The 13,817-nt window shown below is 36.1% G+C and overlaps 1 protein-coding gene across 36 annotated transcripts in view; it reads right to left on the bottom strand.

Annotated features, from left to right (window-relative positions):
* The window catches only part of INPP4B (inositol polyphosphate-4-phosphatase type II B), an 823,376-nt gene that overhangs the window by 426,762 nt on the left and 382,797 nt on the right, over positions 1 to 13,817 (bottom strand). For 35 of the 36 annotated variants that reach the window (NR_169617.1, NR_169615.1, XR_007057981.1 and 32 more), the window contains one exon: positions 12,742 to 12,805. The exons of the other annotated variant lie outside the window; for it this stretch is intronic. The gene's annotated coding sequence lies outside the window, so the exon portion shown is untranslated. The remainder of the gene's footprint in view (positions 1 to 12,741; positions 12,806 to 13,817) is intronic. 36 annotated transcript variants of the gene reach the window in all.

Here is a 13,817-nt window from a genome sequence, read left to right on the forward strand (position 1 = left end):
GCCTAGGCTTCAGTCTCTCCAGCAATTGGTTCATGTCCTACCATCAGCACTTCCCAGGCTGCCAGGGTCTCATAATCTCAGTTCTCTCTCCCTAGTGCTGGCCACTCACATTCCCTCTCATCCTCTGTAAGAAGTTGACCTCTTTGTGATGGACCCTTGCCATAGAGCAGCCCCGACCCAGCCTAGATTCTGTCCCCAGCTCTCACTCCCTTTCATCTTTGCTCTCCCCAGCCTCAGCTCTGCTGCCCAACTCTTGGCACCCCACTCAGCCCCTGGCAAGGACAGACCAAAGTACCTCTGGGGCTAAACAGAGCCAGTTCATGGCATGCCAAACTTAGGAATGTGTTGGAGGTTAGCAAGGACAGTTAGAGCACAGCTCACAATAACTACTGTCTTAATGTCATCAAAGTGGGATCATCCAGAATTTAACAATTCACTAAAAGCAATGTGGGTTTTAGGACACGCTGCAGTTCAAACTAGTGTGTCACATAGAAACATGCAGAGGGAGAAGGAGGGAGACCAGAGATAGAATCAATTCTATAAAATACCATTGACTAGAACATCACACTTCCCTTTCCTCCTTGGAAATACCAAATCAGGAGAGGTGCTACTAATATCCATCCATAATTTCCACAGAGTTCTATTTTTACTGCTGTTTGTGAAATTCATTTTAGTCAACAGTAGCCACAATTTTCTGAGGACGTTTATGTGCCATGCTCTATGTTATCATTCTATATGCATTAAATTAATCCTTATAACAAATGTATTCAGTAACTTCAGCTTTCCAGATAAAAAACTAAAGATTACAAAGTAATTTCTTCCAGGATCCACTTACTAATTGGAGAAACACAGATGTGTACTGGAGTCTCCAATTCTAGAGCCCTTTCTCTTTCTATATGTCACCTGCTTTTCACACACAAAAATTTTCAAACTTCTATTATTTCTTGAGAAAGAAATTAGGGCAGAGGGATAGAAAAAAAGGAGGAGGACTAGAAGACATGTATCTTATATTTGCTGTTTTTATTTATATTATTCTTAATTCTTAAAATTAACTCCCCCCCCCAAAAAAAGTATAACCTATCAATGTAGCATTTAATATCCAAGTACTACAACCCATAGACAGAAAAGTGAAAATCAAAACACGATAGGTGTATTTATGATCTTATTTATAGTATCCTGTGTGTTTGTGACATACTCATCTCTGGTTCTTTTACTGGTTCTTGATGCAAATATACTTTCTGTGGACAAGCCAGAACAAAAACATCAAGAATAAAGATTCAAAACTATTGGTGTTTGAACATAGTTTCCCTTTTTTGTTGCTGTTGTTTTTTTTTTTTTTTTTTTTTTGAGATGGAGTCTCACTCTGTCTCCCAGGCTGTAGTGCAGTGGCATGATCACGACTCACTGCAATCTCTGCCTCCTGGATTCAAGCAATTCTCCTGCCTCAGCCTCCTGAGTAGCTGGATTACAGGCACACACCACCACGCCTGGCTAATTTTTTGTATTTTTGGTAGAGATGGGGTTTCAACATGTTGGCCAGGCTGGTCTCAAACTCCTGACTTCAAGTGATCTGCCTGCCTCAGCCTCCCAAAATGCTAAGGTTGCAGGCGTGAGCCACCGCTCCCAGCCTCAAAATAGTTTCTAATGATTGGATACATCCAGTTCTCCAGATCCAGCATTCTGGTTACTTAACAAAGAGATAATAGTTTCTTTTATTGCTTCTTTAAATTATAGGATGGCCTTTTGGAGATCACAATCCCAGTCAAGAAACGATTCCAAATCACAGTGAGTAATCCATGATCATTGGAACTGGCAAAATATTGACAGTTAAAAGGACAGCACACAAAGCAGCAAGGCAGAGACCTCAGCTGAACAAACAGAAGCACTGAGCTTTTGGTTCATTGTAAATCAGAGATCAGTTCTGTTATTCACTCGTTTCAAATTAGGATAAGAGTAATGTATATGAAGGGAAGGGGGTGCTCTGTCTATCTCTGTGACAAGGCACCCTTTTTTGGGTACATGTGCCCAACGTGCAGGTCTGATACATAGGTATACATGTGCCATGTTGGTTTGCTGCACCCATCAACTCATCATTTACATTAGGTATTTCTCCTAATGCTATGATTCCCCTAGCCCCCCACCTGCCGACAGGCCTCTGTGTGTGATTTTCCCCACCCTGTGTCCAGGTGATCTCATTGTTCAGTTCCCACGAATGAGTGAGAACATGTGGTGTTTGGTTTTCTGTCCTTGTGATAGTTTGCTCAGAATGATGGTTTCCAGCTTTGTCCATGTTCCAGCAAAGGACATGAACTCATCGACGAGGCACCCTTAATTGTGATAACTCAAATGGTATCAGATCTGAACCAGAATTTGAAGAGTTTCCAACAGTGACCCGATGTCCTGAAGGGAAGCACATGGACCCACTTTGGGAATGCAGTGAGTCAGCCATCTGACTCGTTAGATTTTGTTCTGTGTCATTCAGCAAAAGGGAAAGCATCCTGAAGAATTACAAAGTGAAGATGGGAACACATGCTTGATGGAATCTCCATCTGTTCTTTGAAAGGGCTTAGCTAAATCTTTAAAATACGGGGGTAAAATGTTTCAACAGAAGGTAGAATTGAAGAGGTATAAAGAAACTGGTAGTCATCTCCTTTAAGGATGGGAACACCAAGGCTCAGAGACAAATCTGAAGAGTTTTTCATGTATCCAGCTGACCAGTGGCCACACGGGGATTAAAGAGGCCTTTTGTTTTGATGTGAGCTTTTTACTCTGCTGTTCAGTGTGTGACACTTTTGGTTGCTTCTCACATGTCATCTAAAGGATAGAAACTTTCACAGGATGTTCTCAAAAAGACAAACTTCATGGAAACTTTTTCTTCTATAAATACTTCACCTGACACATTGGATTTTGCCTACTTAACAAAATATTGTGAAGCCTTGAGCCCCAAATATACTTGAAAATATAAAATTGCTATCACACAACAACGGTTTAAAAAAAAAATGGAACACGAGCATTATATAACAGTTTGCTGGATGGATAAAGACTTTTCAGTGCCTTTCTCTGACATCTTCTGGAAATCTAAGTAAAGGAAAATAATATATTGTCCACACCTAAGGTGACAGGTTTTTTTCTGATACTTTTCTTCAAACAAACTGAAAATTCCAAATACAGTGACTTCTAGCATCCTATCTCAGGAAGCAGAAATACATAAAGAAAATTAGAATTTGGCTGGAGATTCTTTTTTCGCATGCACCAAAGTAGAGGACTCTAAAGAAATGTGGCCTCAGCACTGTCAGACGTTTCAAAATCCTTATGCACACAGCCATACACATGTACCCAAGATGAGTTAAATACATGTGCTAAAGCAAAACTAAAATTGAAGCTTTGATTATATCCTGAGGACATTTCTAATACAGACATCATCACAAATTATTAATTCCTAGAGCTGACTGAATTCCTTATGATGATACTTCAGGTTCAAATTAGTATTGACTAAATTGTCTATAGTTTCTGATGATGGATTACTCATTTTATTTTGAAATTTAACATTTCAAAGTAAGACAGATAATGAATTTAATTAAAATTTTATCTTCTGCTTTTTATTATGGCAGGCAAGAAAAAATATATATACATGATTATTGTAATTTCACTTTAGCTCTCCAGAGAAGTTCATAGAGTGCCTGAGGTTATCTGCAAAGAATATAATATGACATAACTAACTTTTCTCTTTCCCTATTGTCTACTGCATACACATAATGCATCTTAATTCTTTTTACCACAAGCAGTTTCCTTACTCTTCAATATATACACAATCACGCAGTCTACCTTAAAATATTTATTCAATAATACTGCTCTACAGTGAGAATAAGAGCAAAAAATGAAAAATAAAAATTTAACTGCTAAACTCGAACTGGGTGGAATATCTACAAGAATAAATAGAGTAAACAATGAAGCTCCAGGCCATTGTTCCACCTGCAAATTCATTCAGCATTTCTCTGAGCAACTCATGGGACTAGAGGAAATCATGGACTGATTTAACAAATGCCTTGTGAAACACGGGTTAATTCTCTGTGATGAACTGGGGTATATAAAGGCTTGCCACTGAGGTAGTAGAAGGATAGGAGCTCAAATTTTGTGTAAAAGTATGATATGATTTATGTCACTGAACACTGAAAAAAACAACATGTGTAGACTTTCCTTCTTCCTTTCCCATCTTCTTAATCTCAAGTAAAAGATCACTAGCTTTTAGGATTGTTTTGACCCTACGTGTCAGAAGTGAGTAAATATCATGATTAATTCATGCCATATGAATTTATTGAGCACCTACTATATCGAGTTTATTGTTGTAAGTAGAAAAGTTTCCTTTCACATTCTGCCCTTGCCAGAGTACTGGCTTTCAACCTGTAATTAGTTAGCATAACCAACATAAAACTCATTTCTGCATACCTCCCTATGCACCCTCCCAACCCCTGAATGTGTTTACTACTTAAAACCCACTGATTCTTTCCCACTTCATGAACTATTCTGATAATTTCTTGACAAGCTTTTATTCCCTTCTCTAGGCAAGTTAATATGTTTGTTTTTGAATGGCTGTTTTTTATTGTTTTGGAGTCTTTCCTGTATTCATTAACACTATGTTAGTCTGCAGTGCTCATCTGGATCCGTCATGTCATACAGCATTTATCATCATAGTAATTCAACATGAGAGAGGTACAGCAAAGTGGTTGGGACCAATTATGGATCCAAACAGCCTAGGCCTTTTCATTTACTCTGGGACATTGGGCAATTTACTTAGCCATACCGTTCCTTATTCCCCCTTATAATAAATTGGGAAAATGGTAATATCTAATTTTGGAGAGAATTGAATTCATACATGCAAAGTTGTTAATTGTTTTATTTCTAGCCAAGATGCATCAGGGCAGCTAAAGGTTATACTTCACACTGAGTAGGAGTAAATACAATAAGCAAGCTACCTAAGGACTCTAAAAAAATAAGCTAAACAGGAAAATTGTTGAAAGGAGTTAAAATTTGGAGAAGTTAACCTTAATACAACGAAGTTTTCATTTTCCTCCTTTGTTTTCTCATGGTTTTGAACAATTTTTATATTTTAAATTTTTGTGAGTACATAGTAGGTGTATGTATTTATGAGGTATCAAAACCTCATTATTTCATGATGTGAAATAATGACATCATGGAAAATGTGGCATCCATTCCCTCAAGCAATTATCCTTTGTGTTACAAATAATTCAATTACACTATTTTAGTTATTTTAATATATACGATTAAGTTATTATCGACCATAGTCACTCTATTATGCTATCAAATATTAGGTCTTAATTCATTCTTTCTAATTATTTTCGTACACATTAACCATCCCCACCTGCCCCTAAAGATACTCTTCCTAGCTTACTGGTAACCATCCTTCTACCCTCTAAGTCTAAGAGTTCAATTGTTTTGATTTTTAGATCACACAAATAAGTGAGAACATATGATATTTGTCTTTCTGAGGTTGCCTGATTTCACTTAACATAATGATCTCCAGTTCCATCCATGTTGTGAATGAGTGGATCTCATTCTTTTTTTATGGCTGAAGAGTACTCCATTGTGTATATGTACCACATTTTCTTTATCCATTCATCTGTTTATGGACACTTAGGCTGCTTCCAACTATTGTGAACAGTGCTATAACAAACATGGGAATGCAGATATCTCTTCTATATACTGTTTTTCTTTCTTGTGGGTATATATCCAGCAGTGAGATTGCTGGATCATATGGTAGCTCTTTTTAGTCTTTTGAGGAAACACCAAACTGTTTTTCATAGTGATTGTACTAATTTACGTTTCCTCCAGCAGTGTATGGGGGTTCCCTTTCTGCACATTCTTGCCAGCATTTGTTATTTCCTGTCTTTTGGATAAAAAGCATTTAACTGGGGTGAAATGATATATCATTGCAGTTTTGATTTGCATTTGTCTTATGATAAGTGATGTTGAGTACCTTTTCATATACTTGTTTGCTATTTGTATGTCTTCTTTTGAGAAATGTCTATTCAAATATTTTGCCCATTTTTGATAGGATTATTAGATTTTTTTTCTATAGAGTTGTTTCAGATCCTTATATATTCTGATTATTAACCCCTTGTCTGATGGGCAGTATGCAAATATTTTCTCCCATTCTGTGAATTGTCTCTTCATATTATAGACTGTTTCCATCACTAAACAGAAACTTTTTAACTTGATGTGATCCAATTTGTCCATTTTTGCTTGGTTGTCTATGCTTGTGGGGTACTCCTCAAGAAATATTGCCCAGAACAATGTCCTGGAGAGTTTTCCTAATGTTTTCTTGTAGTAGTTTTATAGTTTGAGGTCTTAGATGTAAATCTTTAATTCATTTTGATTTGTATATGGTGAGAGATAGGGATCTAGCTTCATTTATCTGCTTATGAATATACAGTTTTTCCAGCCTCATTTCCACAGTGTATGTTCTTGACAATTTTGTCAAAACTGAGTTCACTGTACGTCTGTGGCTTTGTTCTTGGGCTCTCTATTCTGTTTCATTGGTCTATGTGTCTGTTTTTATGCCAGTACCATGCTGTTTTTGTTACTATAGTTCTGTAATATAATTTGAAGTCAGGTAATGTGATTCCTCCAGTTTTGCTCTTTATGTTCTTCATATAGAATATAAAATATAAAGAACATAAAATTTCATTCAGTTTTGTTCTTTATATAGAATCTATGTGCTATAATCTATAAACATTGATGAAAGAAATAAAATAAGATCTATTTAAATAGAGATACTGCGCTCATGGATTAGAAGACTCATTATTGGTAAAAGGTCAACTTTGTCCAAACTGATCTATAGATGATTGAATATAAATAAATCAAAATCCAAGCAAGAATTTTAGTAGATATCAAGAAAAAGCTAATTCTAAACCATATATGGAAAGGCAAAGAAAGGATAGCAAAAACAGTTTTGAGAAAGCAGAACAAAATCAGAGAACTCAACTACTTAATTTAAAAAATAACAAGACCTTGGAAGAAGAATAGTTACCGAATAATAAGACAGAGACAATACATGCATACATAATCAATTATTTTTTTACAGATTCAAAGGCAATACAATGGATAGAAAAAATAATTATTTAAATAAATAGTGTAACAATTGAATATCCATGTGCAAAAGAACAAAAAAACACATTTCAGACCTTATACAATCAACTCACTATTAATAATCTAATTGTAAAACCTAAAACTATAAAGCTTATACAGGAAAATATAGAAGAAAATTCTATAGACCTTGGTAAAGATTTGTTAATATGACACAAAACATAGTACAGTCCATAAAAGAAAACCATTTGTAAAATTGACTTTATTGAAGTTGAAAACTTCCACTCTGTGAAAGACACTGTTGAGAAAATGAAAAGACAAGCTACACATTGGAAAAAATATCTGCAAAACTTATATGTGATCAGGAATTTCAATATGGAATATTTAATGACCTTTTGAAACTCCATAAGAAAACAAAAATATTCACTAAAAAACAAGGGACAAATAATTTAAATAGACACTACACCAAAGAAAACATATAAGATATATTGATGCTAAATAAGCACATGGAAAAAATGTTGTGTCATTAGTCATTAAGAATATATAAATTAAAACAACAGAGAACTATCACTACATACATATTAGAATAACTATCAATCATTCTCAAGACTGACAATACCAATCTCTGGTAAGGGTGTTAACCAACCTTCCAATGTATGGATCTCTCATACACTGCAAGTGGGAATGCAAAATAGTATAGTTACTTTGGGAAAATATCTGCTAGTTTTGTTTGTTTGTTTGTTTTTGTTTTTTAAAGACAGTGTTTCACTCTGTTGCCCAGGCTGGTCTCAAACTCTTGAGCTCAAGCAATCCTCCCACCTTGGCCTCCCAAAGTGTTGAGATTCCAGGCGTGAGCTACCATACCTGCCCCTGTCTGGTAGTTTCTTATAAAATTAAATACACACCTACAGTATGACTCAGCAATCTAACTTCTAGGTGTTTAGTCAAGAGAAATGAAATCTTTGATTACTCAAAAACCTGGACACAGATGCTTTTAGTGGCTTTTAAAAAATAACTAAAAATCCAAAACAATCCTAAAGATCTTCAAATAGTAAAAGGACAATTTTACAGTGATAAACCTGTAAAATAAAGTTAAAAAGGAATAAAGAGACAAATGGGTGAACGTCAAGCACAATATGTAAGTAAAAGGTGGCCAGCTCAAAAGGCTGTGTACTGTATAATTCTATTTTAATGGCATAAATAAAATAGGCAGAATTATAGGTATAGAAAAAGTCCAGTAAGTAAGCAGAAGAGTTTGACCATAAATGGACAGGAAGAGGGAAGTTTTGTGGGATAATGTTAAGTGTTCTGTGCCTTGATTGTAGTGGTGGCTGCGCAAATGTGTGCATTTGTCAAAACTCAAAGAACTATATGCCAAAAGGTGAAAAATTTACTGTATGCAAATTTTAAACAGTGAATAAAAACAAAAAATATTTTAGAAGTGGTCATTAAATATTATGGTATTATTTATTTTAATTATATTTATTATTAATATGGCCAGGAGAGTGGGAAACAGCCTAAGAGAGGAACAATTTGAAAGCTTTGATAATAACAAATGTGAAATCAATGAAAAGAATTGCAGGAATAAAAAAAGGAGCAAACCAATTTGACAAGGCAGTAAGAAGGATAAAACTGGCACAGAAATATTCACTCATCTATAAAGGAGCCAAGAGTCCCAGTCGCCACGACTTAATTGATACACTTCAATTTGATCTGAATACACATCAATAAAAATGAGGCTCCCTTGGGTTTGATGTGGCTGATAGAGAAACAGTAGAACAGGCTTCTGTGGAAGAGCAGTTCTCAGCATTCTGTGTATATCCAAGTCATAAATCAGGGAGAAATACTCAAAGTAAGTTAAGGCCACAAGGAAAGTGATGCAGACAGGTGTCCTGGGAATTAAGACACCTAGCTCACTGTGCTGCAGAGCCTGGCTCCCGACTTTCAGGAAAGCAGGAACAAAAATTAAGGACTCATTCAAAAAGCCAGCCTGACTCAGACAACTCATATGGCTGCAGCCTGGTGATCACAGCCTAAATTCATTCCACCAGTAACCTAGAAAGCAGTGTGGAAGGAAGCTGCAAGCTTTGCCAGTGGGACATTCCCTTGGTGTTTGTGTTTGTTAGGAAAGGTTAACAGGGTAGAGTAGAGGATAGAAGGAAAGAGGCATTCACATATTATGTGGCTTGACTTTCACTGGCTGTGTTTCAGGCTCAGTTTTCACAGATACGGATCAAAGGACAGTGCCTGAAAACAAACAAATGAAAAAAAAAAAAAAAACAAAGGTGATAAGATCATTATCTCAGGAAATATCTAGGACAGTTTCATGGAGGCAATTATTTTTATAAGAATTTAATAAATTTTTGCATCAAAAACATGAGGGTAGATAAAAGGAAGGAAGAGGAGTAAGAGTGAAACGAAGAAGAAAGGAAGAAGAATGGGAAAGAAAATAGGGAAGAGAATATTGACAATGGAGGATTTAAAAATGTGAATAAAGACTAAAAGGTAGTAATGTGGAATATACACAAATAATAGCAAACTGGCAATCTGATGGTAGCAGTGCATGCAGAAGCAGCACATTTTCAGATGGGTGATTATTCAGTCTGGCTAGAATCTCTACTATCAATGAATGAAAAAAATCACAGAGAAGCGTAATTTCTCTTACTCTAGATGTTAGATACAATGTTTGGAAACCAGAGAATAGGACAATTTGGGCTATCTGCGTCCTAGCACTGTTAGTTCATAGCTTCACTCAATCAATCAAATATTAATTGAGCATCTATCAAGCTTAGCAGCATGCAAAGTTCTGTAATTCAGAAATTATATGTTACTATGCCTCTAATTGGAGTTTAAATCTGGATAGCAGAATCTAGAACATCTACAAGAAAAAAATACTTTTAATAAAAGGATAAATGAATGTGCCTTTAAGTCTTTGCCTGCAGTGTACAGAATAAGCACTTTCTCAGTGTTTTGTATTTGCAATATTGTCTTAGATATATGTTCTCAAAGTTAGCCTCCTTGCTTTTTCTAACTTCCTTCCCTTCCTTTCTAGAACTTGCTATATCCAGATATGCTACTACATACCAGTCAATGTGTCAGTCAAGAGAGCAACAAGACAGTGACAATGTTGAAAAAACAGGATTTGCAAATCCCATTTTAGAGAAGAGTTAACTGAGATTAAGAATAGTTACAAAATTTGCCCAGAGTCACACTAGAAACAAGTAAAGCAGCTGGGATTTAACCCAGGCTTCAAAATTCACCATTGCTTTTATTCTGAGAAAAATATAATCGCTGAAAACAATAATTTACAGATTACAAGACTCCTGATGATTTGGTTTGGAAAATTCCTCCTGAAAGAGGAAACAGTAAAGTTCAATTTGGTGTCAGATAACATGCTCCCCAGATGCCAACTAATTTTCAGATGGGTGATTATTCAATCCGGCTGGAATATGATGTTTTTCTTCCTACATTTAAGTTTCAATGTTGGTCTATTTTCTTTCTTTTCTTTTTTTAAGAATCCATTTTCAATTAAGATTTCTAATTAGATTCCACGTTTGAGACACATCTCTAGTAGAAAGCAAATGGCAAGAGTAGTAATTAAAAAGCAGCTGTCTCTTGTCTTTCTGGTATGAAACAAGCCGTTTTGTCTGTAAGTTATGAAATCCTAGGAAATTCTGTGATGTTTGTCTCAGTTTTTAATAACAGTCAACTTAATTGGAAGATGCTGAATTGGTCTAAAAAAGTCGATGCCCTTTGCAACACATATGCTGAAAACTTCTCTTCCAAAATAAGCATAAGTCAACTCTGGGTTTTTCAGACTTTTAGTGCTGCAAAGACAAAATCTCCACATTTTATATCAAATCAAATCATTGGCCCAACATGGTAGCTCACACCTATAATTCCAGCACTTTGGCAGGCCAAGATGGGTGGATCATTTGAGCTCAGGGGTTCAAGACGAGCCTAGGAAACATGCTGAAACTCCATCTCTACAAAAAATTAGACAGGCATGGTGGTGCATGCCTGTAGTCCCTGCTACTGAGAGAGGTTGAGGTGGGAAGATCACCTGATCCTGGGAGGTCGAAGCTGCAGTGACCCATGACTGCGCCACTGCAATCCAGCCTGAGTGACACAGTGAGACCCTGAGTGACAGAGTGAGATTCATGGAACATAGCTATTTCTTAGAGATCAAATCATTCTTTAAAGTACTAAAGTAGGCATTACCCCAAGTCATTTGCCTTACTTTAAGACTTTTTCAGAAGCCTCCATTATAAAACTTTATAAATCAAAGAGAATAAGCATTTTCAAAGGAAAGAAATATGATTCAGATTAACTGAGATGCAAACAGCAATTTGTGTAGTTTTTCTCCGTTTAAGAAAACCAGTATTACTAATGCTAATGTTGAAAATTATTTAGGAAGCTTTTGCTCCAGTTGTTCTTGATACCTGAGGCTATATTTCCACATGTGAAGTATAATCAGGATTTGAGGCAATTAACCATATAATTAAGGTCAAGAAAAATCTTCAGCTGGAAAAAAATAAACCAATGAAGCAATCAGATTTTTTCTGGCTTGCATTATCTAGATTCTAGAAAATTATCTAACGTAGTTTAATGCTCATAGCCATAAAATAGGTCAAGCTCCCTAAAAGCAGGCCAGTCTCAGGTACAAAAGAAACTTCTTAAAATGCATATTCCGAAGAGGTAAACTTTTGAAAGATTTCCCAATATAATCCTTATAATCCTGAAAATGACTTCAGGAAATATTAAGTTAAATAAAAGTACAAACACACACACACACACACGTTGGGGTAAGGTGAGGTCAGGTGACAGATTCGAAAGCATCTATATTCAGGGGACCAGGAGAGAAGACCAAATGACATCACACAGAAATGCAAGCAGAGCAAGTTCAGAGGCTTCTTACAATGGATATTAAGGACCTATGGGGCTGGGCTTTTCATCTTATTTTCAACCCGGCTTCATTTATATCTGTCTTCCCTTCTGTGACTTTGCTGTAGCCACACTATTCTTCTTTCAATTATTTTCTTTCTTTTTTTTCTTCATTTATTTTCTTTGTTCCATGCTTTTCCATCTGCCTGGGACTCTATTCTCAAACTTTAGGTCTTAGGTTAAATGTCATCTTCCAGAGAAATAGCCTCTGTCTACCCAATCCACAGTAGATTCTTTGTCTCCCAATATTTTATCCCATAGAATTCTGTTATTTTACATCATAGCATTTATCACAGCTTTTACTTATATATTGATATCTACTGAATCTCCTCTACTGCACTGTAAGTACTGCCTGATTTGTCCAATTCTATAAAATCGCCTTACAGATGAGTGTTTCCCAAATAAAGCATATGCATTAATTTAATAATAAGTAATAATATTAATTTCTTAATTTCTTAACATTTCTGCCTAGGCTAGGCCTGGCCTAACTAAAACCCTCAAAATTGGTTTAATGTAGTTATAGAAATTAATTTATCTATAAAATTTGGCCAGTCATCTATAACATGCAGTCACACATATGCTAAAACACCTAACTGGCATTATTGTAAAATATTTTGTTAATAAGCTCGAATTAATCATCAGTTTAAATGAATACAATGTGTTGATGTTACGTGTTGAGAATAACTCTTGTACCTGATTTATGTTGTTTTCTTTGACAGAACTGCTCTTTGATTATTGTTTCGCTGGTTTCAAGGCTCTGCAAAAAACAAAATGGAAAGAAGTCAGGATTTAGTGTTTACTGGAAATTTTCTTACTAAAGCACCCATAGGTAAAGTGTTTAATATGCTTATAATGCCCATCATTCAAACTTAGGGATTTATCATCATCACAAGATTCATGGAGCATAGCTATTTCTTATTTCTATCCCAAATTAGTCAGCTTCATTCAGCCCATAGAGCCCCTCTAGAATAAATTATAGCTGATCCTTGTTTGCTGCTTAAGTGTGCCAAGTACTATCCTATGCCAGGCACTATATTAAGTTACATGGATTAACTCATTTATTCCTCATAACTACTCAGCAAGAAAGGGTTAACTCAGCAGGCCTGAGTTCCTCAAACTCTGCCCATCACAAAGAAAGGTGACTCTTCAAGTCTAGCCTTCAGCTAGCTTCTGGGAGAAAACCTCTGAACTCCTGGAAGAGTCTACCTGATAAGAGTGTTTTGTATGCATGAGGCCTTAGGCTATGCTGTTTCAGTTGGATCAGATATATTTATTCTAAAATGTGATTTATGATGAACATTTATTTTTGCTTGTGGGAAGGGGTTCTGGTGTCTGAATCACCCAGTGCCGCATGCTTATGTGAGTGACATCTAATAGAACTCTAGAAACCAAAGCTTGGCCGAGTTTCCCTGGTTTACCACACTTCATGGGTTATACATCATTTTGCTGGCAGCTTTAATCACACCTCCATGTGACTCCACTGGGAGAGGATAGCTGGGAGTTTGTTCCTAAACTTTGCACCATGAACCTTTCTCTTTGCTGTTCTTAATTTGTATACTTTCACTATAATAAAGCATGACTATGATTATACAGCTTTTCTGTATCTTAGATGATATGGTCTGGCTGTATTCCCATCCAAGTCTCATCTTGAATTATGGTTCCCTTAATCCCCACATGTTGTGAGAGGGACCTGGTGGGAGGTAATTGAATCATGGGGGTGGTTACCCAGTGCTGCTGTTCTGGTGATAGTGAGTGAGTTCTCACAAGAT

This window comes from Homo sapiens, chromosome 4 (assembly GCF_000001405.40).
Source record: "Homo sapiens chromosome 4, GRCh38.p14 Primary Assembly".
NCBI classification, from domain to species: Eukaryota; Metazoa; Chordata; class Mammalia; order Primates; family Hominidae; genus Homo; species Homo sapiens.